The following is a 26,596-nucleotide window of genomic DNA, read 5'->3' as shown; positions in this document are numbered from 1 at the left end:
ATGAGCCACCATGCCTGGCCAGCAACCTTTTAAAAAGCAGTTCAAGCGTGTCTGATACAAATTAAATATAATTGGTTTTTTTTTTTTTAATTCTCTTTCTCTCCCATGAGAAATACCCTTAAAAGATCTGGATCTACTGGCACCCTGATCTAGTATGACAAAGAAAGGAGCTCCTTTCCACACCTTCATGGAAGGAAATTCTGCTCCCTTTTGTTTACTTTATTAACCAATTCAACAAGAAATTATCAGGTACATGCTATTCCCCAGCACTGTGTGATGTACAGAGGAGGCATCAAATTGAAGTCTACCTAGGAAGCCTCCCATCTACTGGGGTAAACAGGACATACACACAAGGAATAGTTACACAAAGCTGCATAAGATTAAATGTCAAAGTTAGCTGCGTAGAAATCAAAGGATTTTTATTTTATTTATTTATTTATTTATTTATTTATTCATTTATTCATTTTGAGAAATGAGACAAGAGTGTGGCTTTGGCTGTAATATAGGAGCTAAAAGCAAGAATGTTAGTATCATTGGGAACTGCATCAGGCCTAAGGTCACTCTTCCCTGGCACTGTGGCCTTCAATAAGTACTTTATCACCTGAAAATGGCAGCTTATTCATCTGCACAATGGGGACAATAATAGAATCTACTCTTGGGCCTGGTATGGGGGGAATTGAAATGATCCATATGAAAAGCTTAGCAATGTGTCCAGCACAGGGCAGACACTCAAAGATGTTGAAAAGAAAGTTGGAGAAAGAGGGAAAGGAGCCCTTGGCACAGAATTAATGAAGCAAGACTAAGAATGCACTTCTAAGGCATGGTTGTTTATAAGCTGCTTGGAGAATTCTTCTCAAACTGTGCCAGCAGATGGGTCATAACTCATCACTGAAAAAGGACACCGGAAATCTGGGTGATTTTTTTTGTTGTGGTTTCATAAGTTATCTGTAGAGCCAGATGAGCACATATGACTCTCTTCTGGCTTTCATTCATTAATTGCACATTGACGGAGCTCCTCCTAAGTCCACACATCTTTCCCCACTTGATGCTTTAGCTACCCACATCACAGCGCCTCCGTCAGTGGCACTAATGAACTGGAGGATCTTGCTCATGTTGTCCAGCTCTTTCCAGATGGCTTACCTGGAGCTGGCTGGCTGTGGAGAGCCTGGGAGGGTGGCTTGGGTGTCAGGGTTGTAGTGTGATTCACCCCATTTTCTGCTGGAGTCGTTCTCGCTTCACTTGGAGCCTCTGATGGTGTTTCTCCAGGATCAGCCTAAAATTATAAATATCCTTTCATTTTCCACATTTCTTTTTATTCTTTTCTTGCCTTCCTAAACCAACAAGGCTACATTTTATAGCATCTTCACAATTCTTTTGGAGTTGGAAATATCAAATTTGATACTCCCTGGAAAGCAGGGTTAAAACAGCATAGTGTTGAGCCATGACTATGGGAGGTTAATTGTATTAAAGTCTCCAATTTTTACACCAACCTATGTCTATGCCCGTTGGTGGTGCCCTTCCACACTGACTCTGGACCAGACCATGTGATTTGCTTTGGTTAATCAGAGAATAGCAAACTTGATACAAAAGACCCTTGCAAATTTTTCCACTGTTTCTCAGGGTCCTATTATAGCAATGGAGGATGAGAGGTCTGAGTCATCCTGGTCTGTCATCCAGCTCTTCTGGAAGAGAGCTGAGTCATCCTGGTCAAGGATGTCCTGGACCAGCCAGTCCCCAGCTGAGCACATACACTTGAGTGAACCCGGCTGAGATGAGCTGAGTCTATGAGTCTGGTCTGGATCTGCAGACCTGCCCAGCTGACCAGATAATGCATGAAAAATAATAACTAGTTGATGTTATAAGCTGCCAAGTTTGGGGTTGTTTTACAGAATGAGCTAATCGATGTGATGGATAAGAACACACATTTTGGAGCACAGCTTGCCTGGGTTCAGATTCTGGCCCTGCAATTTACCAGCAGTGTGATTTTGGGCAGTTCACTTAACTCTCTGTGCTTCAATTTCTTTATCCTTATAGATGAAGACAGGTGTTTACTGGGGATCATAATATTATCTTGTTAGATTGTTTAGATGATTAAATAAGTTAATACTTATAAAGTACTTAGAATTGTTTCTGGCACAGAGTAAATATGTGGATGTTAAATAATGTGAAAGTTGTCAGAATCTAAATGGAGTCCCTTATATTAAAACAACAACAACACCCACAAAAACCCAAAAAACCCTGACAAAAAGAGCCAGGGAATGTCATAAAGAGAAGGTTCTCACTCATAAATGCCTGATAAGAAAAACTCTCACAAAAGACTCTGCAAAAGCCATCACCTTGTACAAAGGCCATAGCAACTTTACACAAAAAATACTTCTGTGAGGACACCTGCCTAGCAACTCCCTGTCCAACGTCAGACTGAGGTCACTCTTGTTATTGATCCTTGTAGCCAAGGCTAATCATCTGAAAACAATTATGTAACCCTCCTCATTTATCCTTTACAAACCTTTGTCTTCCTTCCCTCCCTGACTAAGCACATAATTTAGTATGCCCTATTCTTAAATAATACCATTTTCTTTTAGAGAGCATCTGTTTGTTATTTATGTTGACATAAAACAAATAAAACCTTTAAGCTTGTGGAATACTACCAATGAATAATAATAATAAATGCATTGAAACGTAAAATCTTCATTCGACACCCTCCAGCAGCTAATTCCACATACCTTATACACAGTAAACAGTTTAAAAATGTTTGTTGAATAAATGCTGATCCTTATAAAATAATTGCCTACATACTCTTTTAATGTTGCTTTTCAATATGCTAAATTCTCTGTAACTCTTTATCAGAATTGCCTTCCAAGTCCCTGGCAGGTTTTACTGACAATGAGGCTATCCCAATGTTCTACTTTGTAGCACATTTTAAAAATACATTAGGAAATATATTTTTCCAGAAGTCTTTTGGAGCCTAACATTGTGACATTTTGGCATGTGATTACAGATGAAAAATTGACCTATAATAACTTTCTTATAAAAAGTAAGATAAGAGTGAAAATAGTGACACTGATTGTCACCAGTGGCTTTTAATCTGTTTCCCAAATCATCTTTAAACCATCTTCCAAAACTGCATTAAGTGATGGCAGAACTTATTTTAATTCAACAAATCATCCCTGCTTGTTTACTACACCCTACTCAATGCTGGAAGAGCCCTTAGTAGCAGTGGCTGGACATCAGTTAGGGGAGACAGGAGACTAAACAAGTAACCGGGGCAGCCTGTATAGCTCACTATGGCAGAATCTTTCTTTTGAAAAATGACTACTTCTGATGGGTAAGTGCCAGTATGGTCACACTATTTAGTTACATCCATCAGAAAAATTCTCCCTAGAATTATATGCAAAGGGAAAGGATTGTGTATGTGTTGTTCAGCAAGACATTGCAAACTGGAAAGTCATGGTCCCAATGGAGTACATGGATGCATTTTCTTTGGCTCAACCAGTGTTGTCAAATCTTTTAATTAAGGTGATCTTATACTGAAACAATGGGTTTCTTACTTCCCTTGAAAAACTAGATTTGACTACATGGGACCTATACACCCACAGTGGGTGGTTCTTTGGCTTAAATACAGCAGGGGTAACGCTTTGCTGGCCTCCCAGCTGAAGAGGGTGCCCATGGTTACCAAACTCAGCTGCTTTAGAAAGCAGGTAGGAAGATGTCCCTATTCCGTGGGGATCTGACCTTCCCCATTATATCCAAGTTGGTTTCTAAAACCATGTGGGGAATGAACCAGATTCTTCCCAATGTGACAGCTCACTAAAATTAGCCCTCTGAAAAAGGATAGAGAAAAAGAAAATTTTGATGGAGGAAAGAATGGAAGTTAGGGAAAACCAGCTTCTGTGAAAGTAATAATGGTGGCTTTTTTTTTTTTTTTGGCAACTAAAATTAGTGTCTTGAGGTGTTAGACTGGAGGTGCATTCAAACTGGATCCAACAAGTTTATTTTTAGATTTGCATTAGGTTTTCAGATACTCCATGTAGCTGTATGCCCTTGGGAAACCAAGTTCGATTGTCAATTTGAGTCAAATAAAGGAAAAAATAAATCTCTGCTTATCAAGGGCATGTGAGACAAAGCCTCCACCTTCCAAAAAGGGACGTACTATATAAAATCAAAGACATTTTTAAAAAGCAGATAGATGTTAAGTAAACATTCAGGCAAATACTTTATGGTTGCAGTCGGGGATAAAGTGGGCACCAAGGGTTGGTGCTGGACTTTGAAGTAGGCTTTAGAGAAATGCTTAGTCCAGGGGTCACACCTGGTGATGTCTCCATGTAGAGTGGACTGTGTCACTCTTGGGACACAACCCCTAAGGATACTATTCACACTGTAGAGTAATAGGCAGTTAGTGGAAATGATAGAAACCAGTGAAGTAGATTTAATGCAATAGGGCAAAGTGAGGTCATGTCCAGAGCAGGAGAGAGACAGCCTGTAAATGGGGCAGTGGCTGCTGTTCATTTTTAGCCTATTTCCACCCAGGTTTTGAGAAAAATGGAAAAATGAAAGTTTTGAGTGAACTCTCCCAGTTTCCAATCACTGAAAAGACAAACAGAGCACATCTTCAGACTGCATTTGGCCCAGAAGTTGCCAATCTGTACCCTCTGCCAGGAGGAGCAGAGTTTGCCTGGAATTCTGAGATGGTGCAAGAGTGAGCTATGCATCCTTAGTAATGCTGAAGTGACAGGACTGTGCTGGGAACTCGGTGGGCCAGGAGCTTCTTACCTTCTCGCCCCAGTGGCCAAGCAAAGGCATAGAGAAGAGGGTCAGTAATGAGGACATTAAACACTGGGCTAAGGAATTTGGAGATCCTTGCATAGTCTGACTCTTGTCAGGGACCTCATGATTTTCTGGAGACAGATGTTATATACAAGTTAAGTCAGTGGTCCCCAGCCTTTCTGGCACCAAGGACCAGTTTCATGGAAGATAATTTTTTCATGGACCAGGGGGAGAGGAGGTTATTGAGGGGATGGTTTCAGTATGACTCAAGTGCATTACATGTATTGTGCACTTTATTTCTATTATTATTGTTACATTGTACTATATAATGAAATAATTATACAACTCACCATAATGTAGAATCAGTGAGAGCCCTGAGCTTGTTTTCTTGCAACTAGATGGTCCCATTTGGGGGTGATGGGAAACAGTAACAGGTCATCATGCATTAGATTTTCATAAGGAGCCCACAACCTAGATTTTTCACATGTGCAGTTCACAATAGGGTTCACAGTCCTATGGGAATCTAATGCCACTACTGATCTAACAGGAGGCAGAGCTCAGGGAGTAATTTGAGTGATGGGGATGAAGCTTTGCTTGCTTGCCCACCTGCTGCTTACTTCCTGCTGTGCGGGCCAGGTCCTAATAAGCTACAGACCAGTACTGGTTGGGATGCCTGAGTTAAGTAAGATTCTATAACATATACATGTGACTAATGTTTAAACTTTTTTGCTAAGGGCTGTAGACACTTTTTTTTTTTTTTTTGAGATGGAGTCTCACTCTGTCACCCAGGCTGGAGTGCAGTAGTGCAATTTTGGCTCATTGCAACCTCCACCTCCTGGGTTCAAGCGATTCTCCTGCCTCAGCCTCCCGAGTAGCTGGAATTACAGGCATGCACCACCATGCCCAGCTAATTTTTGTATTTTTAGTAGAGACGGGGTTTCACCATGTTAGCCAGGCTGGTCTCGAACTCCTGACCTCAAGTGATCCACCTGCCTCGGTCTCCCAAAGTGCTGGATTACAGGCATGAGCCACCCTGCCCAGCCCATAGGTACACATTTTAATTGATTCCATTTACCGAATGGAGACTGCAATTAGAAGTGGCTGTAGATCATCCTGGGTTAGACACTGTTATATACAACAGCTTTTTCACAGCCAGTCAGTGTAGGCAACACGCACAGTACCATAATAAAGCAAAATAATCGGAGGTGTTATTAAAAGTCTTTACTAAAAACTTTATTAAAAGTCATGTAACTTGCCAGAGGTCACACAGGAAACTGTGAACAAGTATTTGAATATGGACTATATGCTAAAGACTAAATTTTTCTATTACAGCAGTCCACTCTATGATAACAGCAGCTTAAGGAACCGTAATAATAACTTAACTTGCTGCTGAGATAGAGATGTCTACATGTAAACATAATTCTCAAAGAACTACCCTGTTGCACTAAAAAGGCATCCGTACATACAAAGTTAAATAAGTTAAGCAAAACAATGGCTGAAAAATGAAAAAAAGCACCTATAGGAGTACAATACTAAAATTGAACTTTCTGATATTATAATTGAAAGATCGAATAATTCCACTATATGGATCTGTAAGCCAAAGTGCAAAAACCAAATTCCTTATCCCACTCAAGAGAATCAGCAGAAGTCAATATTTTATTTCTCCCCCATTATTTGTTTTTATGAGTGAATAAAAATCTGGTACTGGAAATTGTGATAGAAACAGAAACTAGGAATGTCTAGTTTCTTAATTTGATTCAAAGATTTAAATTCCAATTAAGCAATTATCAAGGAAAGAAGATTCAGAAGGTGGTAGTACTTCAGTCGCATTGACTAGATTTTTCTTAGGTGGGTAGTGAAAAAAAAAGTGCAGAATGAACCACAGAAGTAAGTTCCTGCCCTCTAGTGGACAAATGCAATCATTGCAATATCTTTTTCTTCAAAATATGCCTAACTTGAATGTTAAAATTAAATATAAAAAGAATTTGTACGCTTCCTAATTCCAAAATGAACAGAAGTGCACTGAAAATAGAATACAGATGGACCAGTAAAATGGTAACTGAAAAGATCATTTTTATAAGTTCTATAGAAGGAGGAAAAGCCATTTGATGTGCTGGTTGAAAAGATTTCCGTCCTGGGCATTGAAAGTTTGGATCTGATGGTTGAGCAGCAGAGAATTAGGATTTGGAGGATTTAACTGAATGGTTAACATGGTAAGTGAAGGGCCTTTCAAATATCATATGTATTACTGGGCTATTAGAGGTGTTGGATCATGCTTTCCTTGTCTGAGTCATCTGAAGAGTGCAGTTCCGGCCGGGCGCGGTGGCTCATGCCTGTAATCCCAGCACTTTGGGAGGCCGAGGCGGGTGGATCCCGAGGTCAGGAGATCGAGACCATCCTGGCTAACATGGTGAAATCCCGTCTCTACTAAAACTACAAAAAAAAAAAAAAATTAGCCGGGCTTGGTGGTGGGCGCCTGTAGTCCCAGCTACTCAGGAGGCTGACCCAGGAGAATGGCGTGAACCCGGGAGGCGGAGCTTGCAGTGAGCCGAGATCGCGCCTCTGCACTCCAGCCTGGGCAACTGAGCAAGACTCCGTCTCAAAAAAAAAAAAAAAAAAAAGAGTGCAGTTCTTTTTACCTTATGACAGCATCTTGCTTTGGATGGGCACCACATGGGTAAGAGGTAAGGCCATCAGTTTTTCCAGCGTATTACGGGTGAGTCTCATAATTTCATCATGCAGAAATCCACCCTACTCAGGACAAATATTGTCAGAAAGTAGCTTTGTTAGAGCCAGCCTTTCCCTTAAGGAGGAGCTTCTTCAAACATGAGCACAATTTGTACCTTAAATTTCTATTAGTTGAATGAAATTAGATAATGTATCTGCCTCATATTTCTAAGAAATTCAGAATCACTTTAACAAACTTTGTCCTGCTGTATGCACTCCCAAACGTTTAGGAGTGAAGTATACTGATGTTTGCAACCTACTTTAAAATGCATCCTATTGAACCAAGATGGATAGATAAATGGATAGAGGGATTTATATGTGATCAAGTGAAAGCATCAAAATTTTAATTATGGAATCCGGGTGGCTGATATATAGGTGTTCCTTGTACAGCTCTTTCAATGTTAGCTTAGAATTTTTCATAATGAAATATGTCAAAACTCCTAATTTTGAAGAGTCTACCAGGGTGAGTTAGAAGCAAGAGACAGCTTTAATGAGCTGGATAAATTCATCTGTTGACTTCAGTTTTTTGAGCTTCTTCATTAACACCAAGTAAAGTACTTTTGGTGTTTTGCACAGTTAATGTCCAGCAAGTTCTTCCAGCGGTAACTGGAGCATGGGTTCAAGTGAATCTTGACACAGCATGGCTGTGTGTCATCATATAAGCACTCACATGAGTCAACAGCATTCACATGGTATCATTTTGTTGAACATTAGTAGCAGCTGCAATTTTACACATAGATGTATAAATTTTATAATGTCACTCTCTTCCTCCAAGTTGTAAGGGCTATGAGAGCATCTGATTTTCCTCAGCATTACATATATAATGGCCATCAGAGTGACTGACACATAGTTGGGTTTTTTTAAAAAAAAAATATTGAATGAATGCATAATTCATATTTAGTTTCCTGTTAGTACATAATAAATAGCTCTATTATTAATGGCAAAGTCCTGAAAGTAAAGAACTACCTAAATGTTATGCTAAAATAAAACAAATTTGAATGAATGAATAAATCAATGAATGAAAAGAGTGAAGATGCTGCTTTCTGCTGTCTGTAACAAGTTTGTATTTAATGCATAATAACAGCAGGTTACTCAGCAGGCTATCAAAGGGTAAAAGAACATAGCTCTGCTGACCCTTTTATATGTGTTACATATACAAACTTTAATATATGTATATAAAAAAGTTCCTACCAACTTGAATTTATTAGAAGTGTTTTGATACAGTTTACAAAGAATTCAGAAGGAATGAACTCTTGGCTGCTAGGTAGAAATCATGGATTTCTCTTTTTAAAGGAAAGTAGACCAACAACTCTTAATGTTAATTTTGTGGAAATATATCTTTGAGATTAATTAAGTCAAATCGTTTGGTACGGACTATGGTCAATCACTTGCGGGACAAATTCTGGATAATTCCCAGGAAAAGTGTCTCCTGGAGCCCTTCCCAGGTTTCTGTGATTAAGCTGTCATTTTAGAGTGGATGGAATTAATGGGTTTCATCTGGGGAGAGCCACACTCTTGCGAAAGAAAGATGCAGGGCTTCAAAGCAGCGGTTTTTAATGTGTGGTCCCCAGACCAGCATCAGCTTCACTGCAGATTGTTAGAGATGCAAATTCTTGAGTCCGCCCCAGACCTACTGAATCAGAAACTTTGGCTACGACACCCATCGATCTGTGTTTTAGGAAGCCATCTGGGTGATTCTGGTACATGCTAAAGTTTGAGAGCCCTGCTAATCCAAATATGGTCCATGGGCCATAAGCATCACCTGGAAGCTTGTTGAATATGCGGTGTTTTGTGATCTGTGCCAGACCTACTGAATCTGAATCTGCATTGTAACAAGATTCTCAAGTGATCTGTATGCACGTTGAAAAAAATAAATTTTATTGTGTAAATTCAAGGCATACAACATGATGTTATAAGATACCTATGTACAGTAAAATGGTTACTATAAGGGAACAAATAGACATATCCATCATCTCACATAGTTACCCGCTTTGTCCCCCTGTGGCAAGAACAGCTATAATCTACTCATTTAGAAAAAATTCTGACTATGATACATGATTGTTAATTATAGTCCTCACGCTGTACATTAGATTTTTTTACTTGTTCATCCTACACATTTCCTGCTTTGTATCATTTGACCCACACCTCCCCATTTCCTGCACCTGTATGCACATTAAAACTTGAGAAGCCCTGCTCTAAAGCAAAGTGAAAAACTTCATCATTAATTGGGAGCCATGATTTTATAATTGGACATGACATGGATATTGAAGTTATTGTACTCATCCCTATTTTAGGCAGATGAACCCAAAGCCCCTCATTAGAATCCATTGAAATTTTAGAAATTTTTATGGAGGATATTCGTAAAAGCAGCTGAATTGAACCAATCATTGACCAGTTTCAATTCAAGTGAATGAATGGTCTTTTCTTGATACATATTTAAAAAGACCCTAGTTCTTCAACTCATTGGCCGTTGATATTAGGCACCAAATCACTCTACCATAATGAGCAATTGTTCCCTTCTCTAAAAATGGGGATTACTATGGTTTTCCTAGTTAGGACCCAGTTTTATCCAAGGCATCCAATGAAAGTGCATTGTGAATGCCAAATCTGTACAGTATAGAAATGAAAGAGATAGCATCACTATTTAAAGGAAAACCTTTTCTTTTTACTGTATTGGATGCTTTAAAGTTCAGGGATTTTGATAAACTATTGTTTCTATAAATTAATATCTTGCAAATTTATTATTTGAGGAGGAAGATTTGAAGGAGGAAGAATTTTATTTAAAGAGAATCCAAAATAAGCTGTAAACCTCATCTTTGATTTTAGTGTCAAGTTCTTATATTGTGAATGAAATATCAAGTTTCTGTTTTGAATAATTAAATGGTATCCAAGGCCTTGGGCAAAACATTGTAACCTTATAAAAGCACTACCTTGGATTTTTTTGATGTCACATTATTTTATTGGTGGAATTCATATCATTATTAAAATAATCAAATTGGGGCCATACACTGAATTAGGAAATATTTACCAATTATTTTATTTTATTTTATTTATTTTTAAGAGACATGGTCTCTGTTGCCCAGGCTAGGGTGCAGTAGTGCATTCACAGTTCATTGCAGCCTCTGCCTTCTAGACTCAGGCGATTCTCCTGCCTCAGGCTCCCGAGAAGCTGGGACTACAGGCATGTGTTAGCACACCCAGCTAATATTTGCAAACAATTTTTGATGAATTTCAGCTCACTCACAAGAACATGTGAGTCAGACAATACAAAAAGTAGGCCCTTTGGAATAAATAAACTTTTAGTATTACCAAACAACTTTTCCTTTTCAACATCAATATTACACGAAGACCACTCACACACTTCCACTTGCAGGATGAAACAGACGATGTTGGGAATTCTTGTGAACAATTTTGGCCTTGAGGGCTGGGTAAGATTTGTAGTTTCAGGTACTCTGTCTTAGAGGACAACTTTCCCAAGTATGGAAATGAATGCTTGGCAAATGAATACAGCTTTCGTAACTTCCAAGTTGAGGGATATGTATTTTGGCCAGCCAATGCACAAATCAATCAAATAGAACCCACAAAGATAAACCTAACTTTCTGAAGAATAAGTTCTGACAACATCCAGTGATTAAAGGGGGGAAGTTCTTGACATTCAACTAAAAATTCAATCAAAAGATGTTACTGTTTAAGGTAAAGGTCTTATATCCTGTGCTCACTCATTCAGGTAACCTGCTATGGAGGTCAGAAAGATGAATGAAGGGCCCATCCTTGCTAAAGGTTACCAGAAAATTACAGCTTTGTTACAGAGGTAGTGCGTGTGTGTGGTGGAGATGCTTGTTAAACTGTGCTCCAAGGACCAGCAGTATCCCATCACTTGGGGGCTTATTAGAGATGCTGAGTCCCAGGCCCTACCCCAGATCCAGTGAACCAGGATCAGCAATTTATCATGATGCCCTGGTCTTCACACTTAACATGCAGAAGTGCTGATGTGGAACATGAGTTGCAGAACCAGATTGCCTGGGTTTTCATCCTAACTCCTTTCTTTACTAATTGTGTGGCACAGGGCAAGCAATTTAACTCCTCAGTGCCTTAGTTTCTTCATTTGTTAAATGGAAATAATGGTAATTAGGACATCCGGAGGTTTTAAGACTTAAGTGAGTGAATACAGTAAAAGCTTCATGGCCAGGCATGGTGAACCACCCCTGTAATCTCAGTGCTTTGGGAGGCAGAAGTGGGAGGATTGCTTGAGCTGGGAGTTGAAGACCAGCTTGGGCAACATATTGAGACCCTGTCTTGAGAAAAGAAAAATAAAATAAAGGGCTCAACATAGTGTCAGATATACAGTAAGTACTCAGTAAATGCTCATTATTTTTTTCTTTACTTCTCTAACATTAAAAAAGTCATATTCAAATATTGCATTTATGACATTATCACATAATATTTCCTAATAAATGTATTGGATATTTACTTTTTCCTTTTATAGGTATTTTAAAAATAGAAAAAAAGTGTTATGATATTTCACTAGGCATCTCTGTAATTACATTATTTGGTCTGTAAAACATTTAAAAAATTATTTTAAAAAATGTGCACAGAGACCAGACACAGTGGCTCATACCTGTAATCCCAGCACTTTGGAAGGCCAAGGCAGGTGGATCACCTGAGGTCAGGAGTTTGAGAAGAGCCTAGCCAACATGGTGAAACCCCGTCTCTACTAAAAAGACAAAAATTAGCCAGGTATGGTGGTGGGTGCCTGTAGTCCCGGCTACTTGGGTGGCTGAGGCAGGAGAATCGCTTGAACCCGGGAGGCCGAGGCTGCAGTGAGCCGAGATCATGCCACTGCACTCCAGCCTGGACGACAGAGCGAGACTCTGTCTCAAAAAACAAACAAACAAAAATGTACATAGGAAACATGCTAGAAGGATATACATTAAAAATGTTACCAGTATTTGCAGAATTAGAGGGTTTTAAAATTTTATTTCTTTAGTTTACTATGTTTTTATATTTTTCTACGTGACTTTTTATTTAAAGGAATTAACTGTGAATGTTATACTTTGTTAGGATTCAGTTAGGCACTTACTCTACAACTTGACTAATCTACCACTCTGAATTTACAAAGACAAAATAAATCCAATAACGAATCTTTATTATTCCTTAACTTCCAACCATTATTCAGATAATACATAACCTAAATATTATACATATATTATACACATAATATATGTATAATATAATCTGAATAATGTATTTTTGCCTTATCTGAAATAAATATCTATTGTTCAAATCATGGGGGAAATTCCACTTTCTTATCTATTTGGTTTATAAATTACTCTAAAAAGATAATTTACAGGACTATTAAACATCTGGTAATATTTTGCAGTCCAATGACATTTTTAATGTTCAAATAGAAATGACCTTTACAAGCATCACATTAAAATGATGATACTAAAAAAGTCTTTGCTGCTAAAACAGTGTCCCAGTGCCTGCCATGTCCTAGATAGAATTTTCTTTAGAGAAAACCACAGTTACTTATTTTCAGTGGCATCATTCAAACAAACTTACATTATTCCAAGACAAGAAAAAAGACACACTGATGCTCAAAGTGTGAAATGACTTTTCTTTCCTAGCATTACATGTTAAGGGCAAATGATTTTTTTTCCTTGAGTTGTAAAAATGAGGCCAGTTAAGAGTTTAGACATGTCAAAGGAAAAAAAATCATATTTTCTCTATTAGACCAATATAGACTCCATGTGATTCCATGCCTCTAAAATTTTTTCTAAAACTGAAAAATGTCCAAATACTGTCCAAATTTAAACAATATTATACATTTCTAAAAATGCTTTCTGATCACCTTTAAGAAAAGAAAAACAAAAATAAGATTGACCTAAAACTCTACTTCTGTATTTTTGTACATTTTATCCTCCTAAAATAACTTTTTGATGGTGCAAAGATAAGGTTTCCAAAGGACATCAATTTGTGAAAAGAGCCCTACAACCTCAAAGGCCTTATGTCTCTCATTCTTTAGAGTGACATTTTCCCCTAGTCATTACAGAAATGATCTCTGAAGCACCATTAGTAAAATGTTCCATTATGAGACCTTTAGCTCAATTGCTATATCGAATCGGGGCCATACACTGAATCAGGAAATATTTACAAACAATTTTATTTTTTTATTTTATTTTATTTTATTTTATTTTATTTTATTTTATTTATTTTATTTTTAAGAGACATGGTCTCTGTGGCCCAGGCTAGGGTATAGTAGTGCATTCATAGTTAATTGCAGCCTCTGTCTCCTGGACTCAAGCAATTCCCCTGCCTCAGGCTCCCGAGTAGCTGGGATTACAGGCATGTGTCAGCACACCCAGCTATTTGAAACAATTTTAGATAAATTTCAGCTCACTCACAAGAACATGTGAGTCAGACAATAGAAAAAGTAGGCTGAAATATGGTAGTGTTGAAATGTTCTCTTGAAGCAAGTGCTTATTCCTTAGAGACAATGGCTAACTAATGGGTTAAAGTTGATAATCTAAAAAGTATTTCCTCTAAATACTGAAAATACATGTAATTTCACTTGAAAATGCTTTTGTTTAACCTCTATTTCTTACAGAATAAAATTCATCCAGTTGAAAAAGGACATTTCTGTTTTCTTTTTTTTTTAGCTTTTATTTTAGGTTCAGGGGTACACATGAGGGTTTGTCATATAGGTGTGTCATAGGGGTTTGGTATTCAGATAACTTTGCCACTCAGGTAATATGCATTGTACCTAATAGGTCCTGTTTTCTATTTAGAGAAGAATGATATTAATAGTGATTTATTTGTATCTATGTAAATTATCTTTACCTTTAATTATAGTTTATTAAATATGCTATTAAGTAAAGCAGGAAAAAGAGAAAAGAATTTGAGAACCTTTGGTGGATTTCCAAAGAGAAATTAATTTCATACTGATGTTCATATGAGTAAAATGAGAAACTCATAGAACAGTCTTTCTTAATCTTTTAAAGGCCATGGAAAAGAGAAAAAGCACTATTATAACTGAAGAAATATCAGAATGAGAGATGTAACTATTTTCAAATATTTAAATTCTTAATTTTGATTAAGAATTAATTCAGATAGGGAACTCATTCTTGTATTTATTTATAAAACAGCAAGCTACTTAGCATTGCTGGTTTCCCTAGAAGCAGAAGTGGACATGAGGATTCTTGAGCACATGTTGAGCACATGAGTAACTGAGAGAATGGTCTCAGGAAAAAACTGCAGGGAGGTGAGGCAAGCAGGTTAAGACAGGGAAGAAGATAAGTCGAAATGTGGCCTCAGGCAAACTCCAGTCTCAGACTGATCCCACAGGGTGCTCTGGAGCATGAATTGCAACACAGAAGTTGCCCACCACAAACAAGGTACTGAGCTATGATTCTCCCAAGTGGGATTTATCCCAGAGATGCAAGGATGGTTCAACATATGCAAATCAATCAATGTGATACATCATATCAACAGAATGAAGGAAAAAAAAACCCATATGATCATTTCAATTGATGTTGAAAAAGCATTTGATAAAATTCAACATCCCTTCTGATAAAAACCCTCAAAAAAACCCCACCTGGGTATAGAAGTAACATACATCAACACAATGAAAGCCATATATAACAGTTCAACAGCTAGTATCAAACTGAATGAAGAAAAACTGAAAGCCTTTCCTCTGAGATCTGGAATAAGACAAGGATGCTCACTTTCACCACTGTTATTCAACATACTACTGGAAATCCAAGCTAGAGCAACTGGACAAGAAAATAAAATAAAGGGCATCCAAACTGGAAAAAGTCAAATTATTCCTGTTTGCAGATAACATGATCTTGTATTTGGAAAAACCTAATGACTCCACCAACTAACTATTAGAACTGATTAACATTCAGTAAAGTTGCAGGATTAAAAATCAGTGTACAAAAATCAGTATGTCTGTATCAGAATATCAAATGCACCCCGTAACATATATACCTACTATGTACCCACAAATAAAATAAAATAGTGCAGCATTGCAAATATCCAATAATTGGGGACTTAGTAATTAAATTATGGTGGAGCTATATGATAGAAGGCTATGAGTTATTAAAAGTCATGTCATAGAAGAATATTTAATGACATGGGCAATGAGATACTTAATACTTTTATTTTCACTTAAAACACAGACTGTGAATATTATCCCATTTTATGAAAGAGTAACAATTGTGCATAAAAAGACTAGATATGTATACACCCCACATTTAATGTGGCTATCTCTGAGCGGATGGGATGTTTGAATTACAGTTGATTTCTTTGTTGTTTTCTTTTGTCATTTTTACGTTTTAAATTTTCTATAATAAATCGAGGATGCTTTCGAAATAAGAAAAACATTACTTAACAATGTCAACTTTAATAGACTATTTAAATGGACTATTTAATGGATAACTATTAGTTATACTTATTAAAACAATTTTCAAGGTTTTTTCCCCCAATACTGACAGTTCTCCATTTTCTATCTTTTTTCTCGAGTTTTTCCTCTGAATAAAATATGAAAATAGCAAATTTTTATCACTATTTTTAATATTAGTGTCACCCTTAATAATCAAGTTATAATTCACTTTTTTTAAAAGCAAAAAGACTGCCAGTCTACATAGAAGCTTTATAAATTTAAACTTCATTTCTACTATTTTTAGACCCTTCCTTAATTATGCTTTGCATTGTGACATCTAATTTGGAATAATATATCAATTATTTGCAGGACACACATTATAATACATAAATATACCATCTAATAATAACAGTAGACTCTTTATGACTCATACTATTTTCCAGGTATTGTGTTAAATATTTTATGTACTATAAAAATCAGAAAAGCACTTTGAAAATCCTGCATGCTACATTAAAGATAAAGGGAAACCCTAAATGATTTGATGATTATCTTCCTTTTTAAATGCGTTCATCACCTTTAATTAGCATGGAATCATGTAGAAAGTTTCATCTGAAATAGCAAGATGTGTGCAGTTTAATTTTATCACAAGATAAGATGCTCGTGGTATCCACAGAATGCCAAAAGAAAATGAAATGTGAAAAATTTAAGTCAATCATCTAGATGTTCTGTGACATGATGCTAAACTGCATGAAAGTGTTGTTCCAATGTGCTATTCCTTCTCCCAAGGTATGTGATATTACTTAGGCAAAGCCAACAAGTAGGTGTGGTGATCATGCTTAATGCTATATGTAAAATTAAAACACCCTCTCACCTCTTTCTTTACTTCTTCTTCATCTTCCAGTGTCAAAGCAGCCAATTGCTTAGCTCTCTGTTCCATCAGGTTCACATATCGGATTGGGTTTGATAAAGCTTCGATGACATCTAAATAGGGAAGAGATATTTTAGATCAAAGGTCCTGGAAGTATTGATTATCCATCATTCATCTACTTACTCATCTATCTGACCATCAGTCCATGCATTCATTCATCACCCATCTACCCACCCATCCATCCATCCATCCATCCACCCAGTCATTATCCATCTTCCATTCTTCTGTCTACCCATATAACTATCTACTCCTCTATCCAACACTTTGAACATGGACAAGGGTTAGGACTCTGTTGAAACTTCAGGAAGAGAGAAATTAAGAGTTTAGTTCTGAGAGTCAAACTGGACAGGCTTCAACTCAGGATCCCTGAATATTCTTGATTCCTTAGTTTCTTTTTGAAGGTCCCATCCATTCCGGCAATGGCCCACCCAATTGTCCTATTTGGCCCAAATGACGTTTCATAAATGGAGACATTTTACATAAAAAGCCTGCTTTCCGGACTGTTGGGATAACCCAATGATTTGCCAATATAGTTATTTGAAGGGCAGTGCCTAGCTGGAATGAGTTATGGCTGCCAGCTTTGGATGGACAGCCCCAAGCTTACCATGGTCTCCACTACTCCCCAGTGTCTTACACCCAAGCTACTTGGCACTATAAGCATTTACACTTATGATTCTTGGTTAATTCCTTAAATTTAGGATGTCACCCATGAAAAGAATCAGCATTCTAAAATTGGTGGAAGACAAATTCAGTGTACAGACCTAGACATTTGTTGTAATGGATAACATGAGTTGGTAAGTGCTGGGCCCATGAGAATAAGACTAAAAGGGAATAAATATTCAAAAAACTGAGGTGTTGTGATTTTAATTAAAATACGTTAAATTAAAATGTATTCACAATGGCTCAAGCAATTTACCTCTAAACATACATACGAAAGTAGGGGTGATTCTGAAGCCAGAATCTCCTGCTTTGTTTGGTTCAGTTTTCCTTTCACTAACCCAAAAATATATGGTGACTCAGACAGAAATACCCCTTTGAGTAAAGTGGTATTTGAGTTAAGTTGTTTACCTGCATATGTGTCTGGCACATAGTCTTTCACTTCTATGTAGACAAAGACAGCAGGCAGCGTCAGAGGCTGGTTCCTTTCATTCCTTAGACAGATATAGTGATAGCCTGGAAGGTGAGAATAATGCTGTGTAGCACATATTTCCTTTCCAATGTTAGTTATAATTATGCGCATCTATGTGATGAAAGCATGTATTTCAGGTTACTTTAGATGAAAAACAAATCACTTTTTTCATTTTAATAACATTTATGAATGATAAGGCATTATTTTTCTCATCAGACAAGAAAACATTCAATGTGATTTTTTCCTTTCCAACCGTATGATTTTTCCCACAAAAGATAATTCCAAATCACATGTCATAGACTGAATTATTGATCCAAACTTGCCCCCATAACAGAATTATACTTGACATGACTTCTTTTTTTAAAAAATTGTTATTATTATTTTTTGTAGAGACAGGGTCTCATTCTGTTGCTCAGGCTGGTTTCAAACTTCTGGCCTCAAGAGATCCTCCTGCCTCAGCCTCCCAAAGTGCTGAGATTATAGGCGTGAGCCACCATGCCCAGCCTTGACGTGATTTCTTGACTTGTGCTTAAGCTCTGCTTTAGTCAACAGTATATTAGTAATTTGGTGTAGGTAGAGGCTTAAAATGCACATGCAGAGTTAGACATTCCAGTGTTCTGCCAAGAGAAGTCCATATTGTAGAAGCAACTGCCACTTCAGCCTGGACCCCAGAGTGAGCGCATGTGGGACAGACATAGACCCAACCCAGAACCTGAAGCACAGCTATGCTGCGGAGCCCAGGCTAGATTAGCCAAACCCGGCCAACCCACAGACCTATGAGCACGAAGATAAATATTTGCATATAAGTTTTCAGATTGTTTGTTACACATAATTATTGTTGAAAGAGTTGACTAACATTAATACTACAACATGTCACAAAAACATGTAACTAAATCTCATCGCCCTTGTTACATAACAAAATTACAAAGCAGAAAATAGTTTCTTAAGTCATTTTCTAGTAATATTTTAAGCAGTAATGATTTTCTTTGCAACTTTGATAAAAGGTTTCTCAGCACACTACCCATACCTGGCCGAATGGCTTGCACTGGCAAGATACGGTGGCCAATGAATTTACCTCCTTCTTCATAAACTGCTATTCTCAAACAGGCCAGAGTAGGAAGAACCACCTACAAAGGACATTAAGGACACACCTGGTTATAAGAATGAACAATTCCAAGAAATAATTAGAAAGGTATTATTCAATCAGGACTAGCTTTTCTTTTCTCTTTCTTTTTTTGAGATAGAGTCTTGCTGTGTCACCCAGGCTGAAGTGCAGTGGCGTGATCTTGGCTCACTGCAACCTCCGCCTCTGGGTTCAAGCCATTCTCCTGTCTCAGCCTTCCAAGTAGCTGGGACTACAGGTGCATGCCCCCACACCTGACTAATTTTTGTACTTTTTTAGTAGAGACAGCATTTCACCATATTGGTCAGGCTGGTCTCGAACTCCCGACCTCAGGTGATCCACCACCTTGGCCTCCCAAAGTGCTCGGATTAGAGGCATGAGCCACTGCGCCTGGCCAGGACCAGCTTTTCAGATCCAACTAGAAGTTTCTACTTAGCTACTTTAGACAAAAAGTTGAGATGTTGCCCTATAAATTTCATTTTCAGAGGAGAAGACATGGGTTGCCAGAGATAGGGCTTCATCTATGTTTTATCACCTTGCCTTAATGAGGCATTTGTTAAAAAAATAGGCTGTTTTATTTTTACATGAACATTCTCAATGTGGAAATGACAAAAGTTCTATCTTTCAACAAAAAGAGTTTAGTGGTTTTATCACCATGTGAATATTTCATTTATGTTTTCTTTTTTTTTAATTTGTGTTTTAATTTTTATTATTATTATTATACTTTTAAGTTTTTGGGTACATGTGCACAATGTGCAGGTTAGTTACATATGCATACATGTGCCATGCTGGTACGCTGCACCCACTAAGAAAAAATGCTCACCATCACTGGCCATCAGAGAAATGCAAATCAAAACCACAATGAGATACCATCTCACACCAGTTAGAATGGCAATCATTAAAAAGTCAGGAAACAACAGGTGCTGGAGAGGATGTGGAGAAATAGGAACACTTTTACACTGTTGGTGGGACTGTAAACTAGTTCAACCATTGTGGAAGTCGTTTATGTTTTCAAAGCAAATGACTTTTGCATCTTCAAAGTGAAAGCAAAAAAAGTGAAAACAACCACCACTGAAAAACAAGAATAACTTTCAGGACAGCTTTCAAAATACAATTGCTTTATAAATTTGTAAATTCCCACAGTAAGCAAAGAGCAACTACTCATTTCTTTCCTCAGTGTGAAACATCTAAAATATGCAGTTATATCTTATGTCAAGAACATGAAGTCGACTATCTCTTTAAAAATGTATTGTTTACAAAAACAGCAAACTCACATTTATTGAATATTTTCATTGTGCTAGATATTTCTTAAGTGTGGTCAATGTATTTACTTATGGAATATTCATAATAACTGTAAGAAGTAAACAGTATAGTAAGCATTATTATTAAACTCAGTTAACATATGGAAAAATCCCAGAGCACAGAGAGTTTCCGCATAGCTATTCTCTTTGCAGAAGACTGGATTTGTAGATATTTTGGCCAGAAAAAAGCAAAGAGTAGGCTAAAAAGTCTACTTCCCACTGAACCTACTTTCTTCCTTTACATGATAAGCATGTGTGAAGATTTGCTTTTTGGTGAAGAAAGAGAAGGGCCCAGTTGAGTGTGAAAGGTTTCAACTTTATTAGATAGAACCCAGACAAGATTGAATGACCAGCTCTCAGAGGCTAGAGATTTTGGGGAATTTAAATAATATTCCTTTTAAAGGAAATATGAATTTTCTTTATCTCAGCCACTATATTATTCCCTACTTCCACTCTACTTCTTTGAGTTATAATTAAAATGTATCATTTATCATTTGTACTATCAGATGATATGAGTTAAATGTATATGTTTTTATGGCCGTCCATTTGAGGCATACTAGAATGAATTGATTTACAATACAATTCTGAAAATCCAAACCAGTGATTAACAGAATTCTTGAAGGGTTTTCAGAATGGCTTTCAAAAGGTAATTGCTTTATAAGTGTGTAAATTTTCAAATTAAATAACAAATAATTCACCATTTCATTATTTTCTCAGTGTAAAACACCTGAAAAATGCAGTTATAACTCATATCAAGAACATGTGACCAACCTTTTTGAACACAATAGGTTCTTCTTCCCAGACAGGATTCACAGCATTTCCTTGGGATGTTTTGGTCTTAAATGCCTTCCTCCTTGTATCCACAGGCAAACCAAACATATCTACTTCCACGTAAGTCCCAACTTTCTTATCAGAAAGAAACTGACCTGAAATAATCTAGAAAATCAATAAATCAATCAATCCATAAGGAATTTTGATATGCAAATAACAAAGACATAAGAGAATACTTTAAAGAGCCACAAATGCTCTTCAGCAAATGTTGAATTATAAGCAAAATGGAATAGAAGCAAGAGTAGAAATATGATTTCCCTTTCACTTAATGGGTTATGATATGGTTTGGTTCTATGTCCTCACCCAAATCTCATGTTGAATTGTAATCCTCACATATTTGGGGAGGGTGATTGGATTATGGGAGTGGTTTCTCTCATGCTGTTCTCATGATAGTGAGTTCTCACAAGATCTGATGGTTTAATAAGTGTGTGGCAGTTCCCCCCTCACTCTCTCTCTTCTCCCTTCATGTGAGGTGTGCTTTGCTTCCCCTTCACTTTCCACCATAATTGTAAGTTTCATGAGGCCTCCTCAGCCATGCAGAACTGTGAGTCAATTAAACCTCTTTTCTTTATAAATTGCTCAGTTTCAGGTAGTTCTTTATAGCAGTGTGAAAATGGACAAACACAGGTTGGTAGAAGGATATTGAAAATGGTGAGGTTAGAAGTAGTCAATTAATAAGACACAGTATTGTAGGAGGAATAAATGAACAAGTATTCACTTTAAACCATCAAGATAAGTTTATCATTACCCCTAATCTCACAAGGTGTCACCATCTTTGTCTAGCTACAGAACTAATGGATATTATAGACTTAAAAGAGATTTTTAATATTACGTATTTATAAATGTCTTCCATGTCTGCCTCTGTTTCTATGCAAATTTTCAAAATCTGAACTATCCACCAGCTGTCATAAAGGTTAGCGGAGGCAAACAAGATGTGCTTCTGCTGTATACCAGGAAGGGGAAAGCAGGAAGCAAGTGCTGACAGAGCAAACCTGGTGAATCTGGGTTATGTGGTTACAAGAAAATTGCCTGCTGGTCAAGAACTTTCTGAGCTCCAGATTGTGAAAAGGGGACAGCATTATGGCTGGGCTCACAATCTGAGCTCAAGATTGTGAAAGGGGACAGAATTATGGCTGGGCCAGAAATCAGACAAAATGGTGGCATGAGAATAGCTATCAAAGGCTGAGTAAAGTCAAAGTCAGCTATATGCTGATGTTGTCAGAAATTCTGAGTAATTCAGAGAGAAAGTCATCAGGAAGGCTCTCTGAATTTGCCCTGGGACAACTCATTTCCCCTGTATGTTCTATTTGGCTTGAGTGCATGGGACCTGCTAGCAACAATCTCTTTGTTTAACTTGAGGTTCTATGTGAGAACTATGTCTATGAAATAAGCAAGCATTTCAAAACATGTTTGAAACTTCTAAGTTATGCAAGTCCTACTTGGAATTCAGATGCACAGAAGATGTTGTATGTTTAAGATGTTTGACCAAAGCAGAGTCCTAAACTAAATTCATGACACCAAAACCACAATGCTCTCGTCAGTAACATAGGACGGTAGAACATCATGTGAGCTCACAAGTCCATTCTGGCATTATAAAATCTATGCCAGAAGATGAAAACAAAGGCATAATTGGAAAGTTATGATCTGTATCTTGGCTCTAGCTATAATGTCAAAGGTAGGACTCTACTGCAGTGAGAACTGTCCATTCAGGGGAGACTGACAGCTCTGGAGCAGCGTCTCCATTCTGGACAGGAGCAGCAGGTTACACTTGTCTGGGGATCAACTATTTCCCCTTCACAACTCAATGTACTTTCCTGCCTCTGTGTCATTGTTTTATAATTGCTTACTGTCACAGTAGGATTTTCAAGACAAAAAAAGAAATAAGCAAACAAATACATTCAAAACAAGACGAATCTGCAAGCAAAGCAAAAATATTATTAATTCAACCGAACTATAACAACAATTGACAAGGATTCTAAAAGTAGCATTCTATCAGTACATGGAGCTTATGAGTTTATCTTTATCACACCTGACAGGAATTAAACAGCCTTTTCTGAAAATACTTTCCTAAAATAAACTCTAATTCTGCCAACTTGAACTCTTTATACATGTGGCTTGAAGTAATTTCAAAAGATATAATTATGAGACACTTCACTGAAATTTTATTCTTTAAACCCTTGATATAAAGTGACGAAAGTTTTAAGGTAAAAATGTGCTCAACTGCTTAGGGTAGAAAGAAATTAGTGAAGCTGTTATAGAAAGCTTTTTACATAGTTTTTCAAATGCCTTTGTTTAAGGTTAATCAAAAAATTACATTTATGTCCAGTAAAAAAATTTCTTAGTTCTATAGTTATTCAGTTAAACAGAAAACAGACAATATTTTTGAAAAGCTTTAACGATGAAGAATCCATGTAAAATGTATTCTAAAAAATTGATTTTCCTTTCATAGTATTAAAAATATTTTCTGGTAGCTAAAAAATTATATCTGATATAAAATCAATTTCAAAGACTAAAAAAATTTAGAATTGTTTAGGGTCAGATATACATATGTATGTGTATATATCTATGATTTTTATATATTTATGACATACATGTATATATACATATATATTTAATAAAGCAACTCTTTTATTTAATGATCATTAATATGTGTTTTAAAATCTCTGAATACTCTGGAAGATTTTCAAAAACCATTTAAAGTAATTTGAAAGCTTTTGTTTAACATTTGATAATTTATTGAGGGAATGTTCTGTCTCTAATTTTCTAAGAACCAAACGGGGAAAAAAAGACCGGAAAATCTCTCCAATATGGGCCACTAATTATCATGTAAATTTCATAGTAGGTTAGTTACACCAAAAAAGAGGTTTGCTTATGATGAGTCTCTCCAACTCATTTTATTGATTTAGAGTCAGATTTTTATCATTAAGAATAAAGTTCAGTCGCTTTATCTTATTCATGTGGCCTATGAAAACTTTTTTTTTTTTTTTTTTTTTTTTTGAGACAGAGTCTCGCTCTCTCGCTCTGTCGCCCAGGCTGGAGTGCAGTGGCGCGATCTGGGCTCTCTGCAAGCTCCACCTCCCAGGTTCACGCCATTCTCCTGTCTCAGCCTCTTGAGTAGCTGGCACTACAGGCGCCCGCCACCACGCCCGGCTAATTGTTTTTTTTTGTATTTTTTAGTAGAGACGGGGTTTCACCGTGTTAGCCAGGATGGTCTCGATCTCCTGACCTCGTGATCCACCTGCCTCGGCCTCCCAAAGTGCTGGGATTACAGGCGTGAGTCACTGCGCCCGACCCTACCAAAACTTTTATTATTATTATTATTATTATTATTATTATTATTATTATTATACTTTAAGTTTTAGGGTACATGCGCACAATGTGCAGGTTAGTTACATATGTATACATGTGCCATGCTGGTGTGCTGCACCCATTAACTCGTCATTTAGCATTAGGTGTATCTCCTAATGCTATCCCTCCCCGCTCCCCCCACCCCACAACAGTCCCCAGAGTGTGATGTTCCCCTTCCCGTGTGCATTCATAGATGGGAATTGAACAATGAGAACACACGGACCCCTTACGAAAACTTTTAATGTGTATTTGATCTTTAGAGAAAAAAAATGTAGGAAGAAAGTAGAATCTTTCCTAGTTACTAAATTTTTAATGACTAAGCCACTTCTTTATGCAATGTAGATAAATTCAACACTATTGTTAGGAACAATTTTGTGATGGGGTATACCTACCTTAACAGACAAAGTGTTTGCCACTATCCCATCTACGATGCCTTCAGTAAATGGATCAAAATGCTTGTCAGGCCTCCTCATGAACTCTGGCTTCAATCTGTAGCCACTCTTCCCGTTGTATTCATACATCCCCATATTTATTTGCATAGCCAGGTCTGAGTATCAAAAACACAAGCCTTATTGTGAGTTTATCTATACTTGGGGTAAGAAAGTAAGATTGTAAAGTAAAGTTGATCCCAGTCCACTTTTGTGACTGTATTCCCTTGGAAGAGAGTCATTGTAGAAATGCAGGAAACACAGATAAGAAAAAAATTACCTCTAATCCCCAAGTCCAGAAATAATCACTGCCAACTGGTGGGTGTGCAGTCTGCTTTTCCACTTCAAATATATTGTTGACATACAGTATATTGATTTCATTTAATATGTATCTGCCTTAATTATAACAGCTGTCTCAAATTCCTTTGATTAAATATATTAGAATAATATATTTGTATAATATATGTTAAATATTAATATAATATAATATATCTAATATATAATATATAATTATATATAAATATAGTATATACAAAATATCTAATATCTAACATATATTAGATATATTATTTATATTATTCTAATATATCTAATATCTAATGTATTAAATATATCATTCTAATATATATTAGATATATTAGAATGATATATTAAATATATCATTCTAATATATAAAGCATATATTAGAATATTATGATACAATATCTAATATCTAATTTCTAATTTCTAATTCTAATATCTAATTTCTAATATGATACACTATCTAATACAATATATTAGAATATAATATCTAATACAATATATTAGAATATAATATCTAATACAATATATTAGAATATAATGTATTTAACCATTCCCCTTTTGGGCACATTTATGTTTTTTCTAATTTTTCACCCTTATAATGTTTTGATAAACATCATTGTGGTGAAATCTTTGAAGCCATGATCAGTGATTTTCTTATGAGAGGAATTCCTGGGACAAATGATGTCCTCATTGGAAAATTTTTCTTTGATGCCTTGCTAAAATGCCCTTCAGAAAGCTTAAACCAGCTTATACTACTAAGCCATGTTTTTGAGAATGGACTTCTCCATGCCTCATTAAAAGAGGATTCTATTATTCCTTTTCCTGCTTTTTAATTTGTACAAAAAATTTCTTTTTTATAATTTGCACTTCTGTGATTACTTACAATTAACATCTAATTCTACATAGACTCTTTTCCAGTGGACAAAGGTTACTGGTCAAAATTTTCCTCAGACTCAGTGCATCAGATGAACGTTCACACATATTGCAACTGATAGAGTGAAAGAATACATATTAAAGTTGTAAAGAATCTGGGAAGTTGTCAACAGTTCCAGATTATCTGTGTCATGACTCATCTCTATGTGCATAATAAAGAGGTGATGGCAGAATTATTCTAAAGTTTCATTTAACAAATCATTTTTAGAGCAGAAAAAAATCAGTGAAATTTTCTCTTATTAAACTATTATTTTATAAACATAACTATGATGTCAAAATTGGACAAAATTTCAAAACAATAATGAATTTATGACACTTGAAAAAATTAGCTTCAAAAGCCTAAAAATTACATTAGCAAGTCATATGTTCTAAAAATAATACACAACAAATAAGTAGAG

General features: G+C 36.5%; 1 protein-coding gene across 2 annotated transcripts in view; it reads right to left on the bottom strand.

The window, feature by feature from the left end:
* Positions 1–26,596, bottom strand: part of PLCB1 (phospholipase C beta 1) — a 752,635-nt gene that overhangs the window by 126,582 nt on the left and 599,457 nt on the right. For both annotated transcript variants that reach the window (NM_182734.3, NM_015192.4), the window contains exons 19-24: positions 24,927–25,081; positions 21,127–21,291; positions 18,959–19,058; positions 17,871–17,975; positions 16,746–16,855; positions 1,141–1,273 (exon numbers count right to left, since the gene is read on the bottom strand). In NM_182734.3, coding sequence (NP_877398.1) covers positions 1,141–1,273; positions 16,746–16,855; positions 17,871–17,975; positions 18,959–19,058; positions 21,127–21,291; positions 24,927–25,081 — 768 coding nt within the window. The remainder of the gene's footprint in view (positions 1–1,140; positions 1,274–16,745; positions 16,856–17,870; positions 17,976–18,958; positions 19,059–21,126; positions 21,292–24,926; positions 25,082–26,596) is intronic.

This window comes from Homo sapiens, chromosome 20 (genome assembly GCF_000001405.40).
Source record: "Homo sapiens chromosome 20, GRCh38.p14 Primary Assembly".
In the NCBI taxonomy this organism is placed as follows: domain Eukaryota; kingdom Metazoa; phylum Chordata; class Mammalia; order Primates; family Hominidae; genus Homo; species Homo sapiens.
The sequence above is the reverse complement of the archived record's forward strand: the minus strand, read 5'-3'. Positions and strand labels throughout refer to the sequence as shown.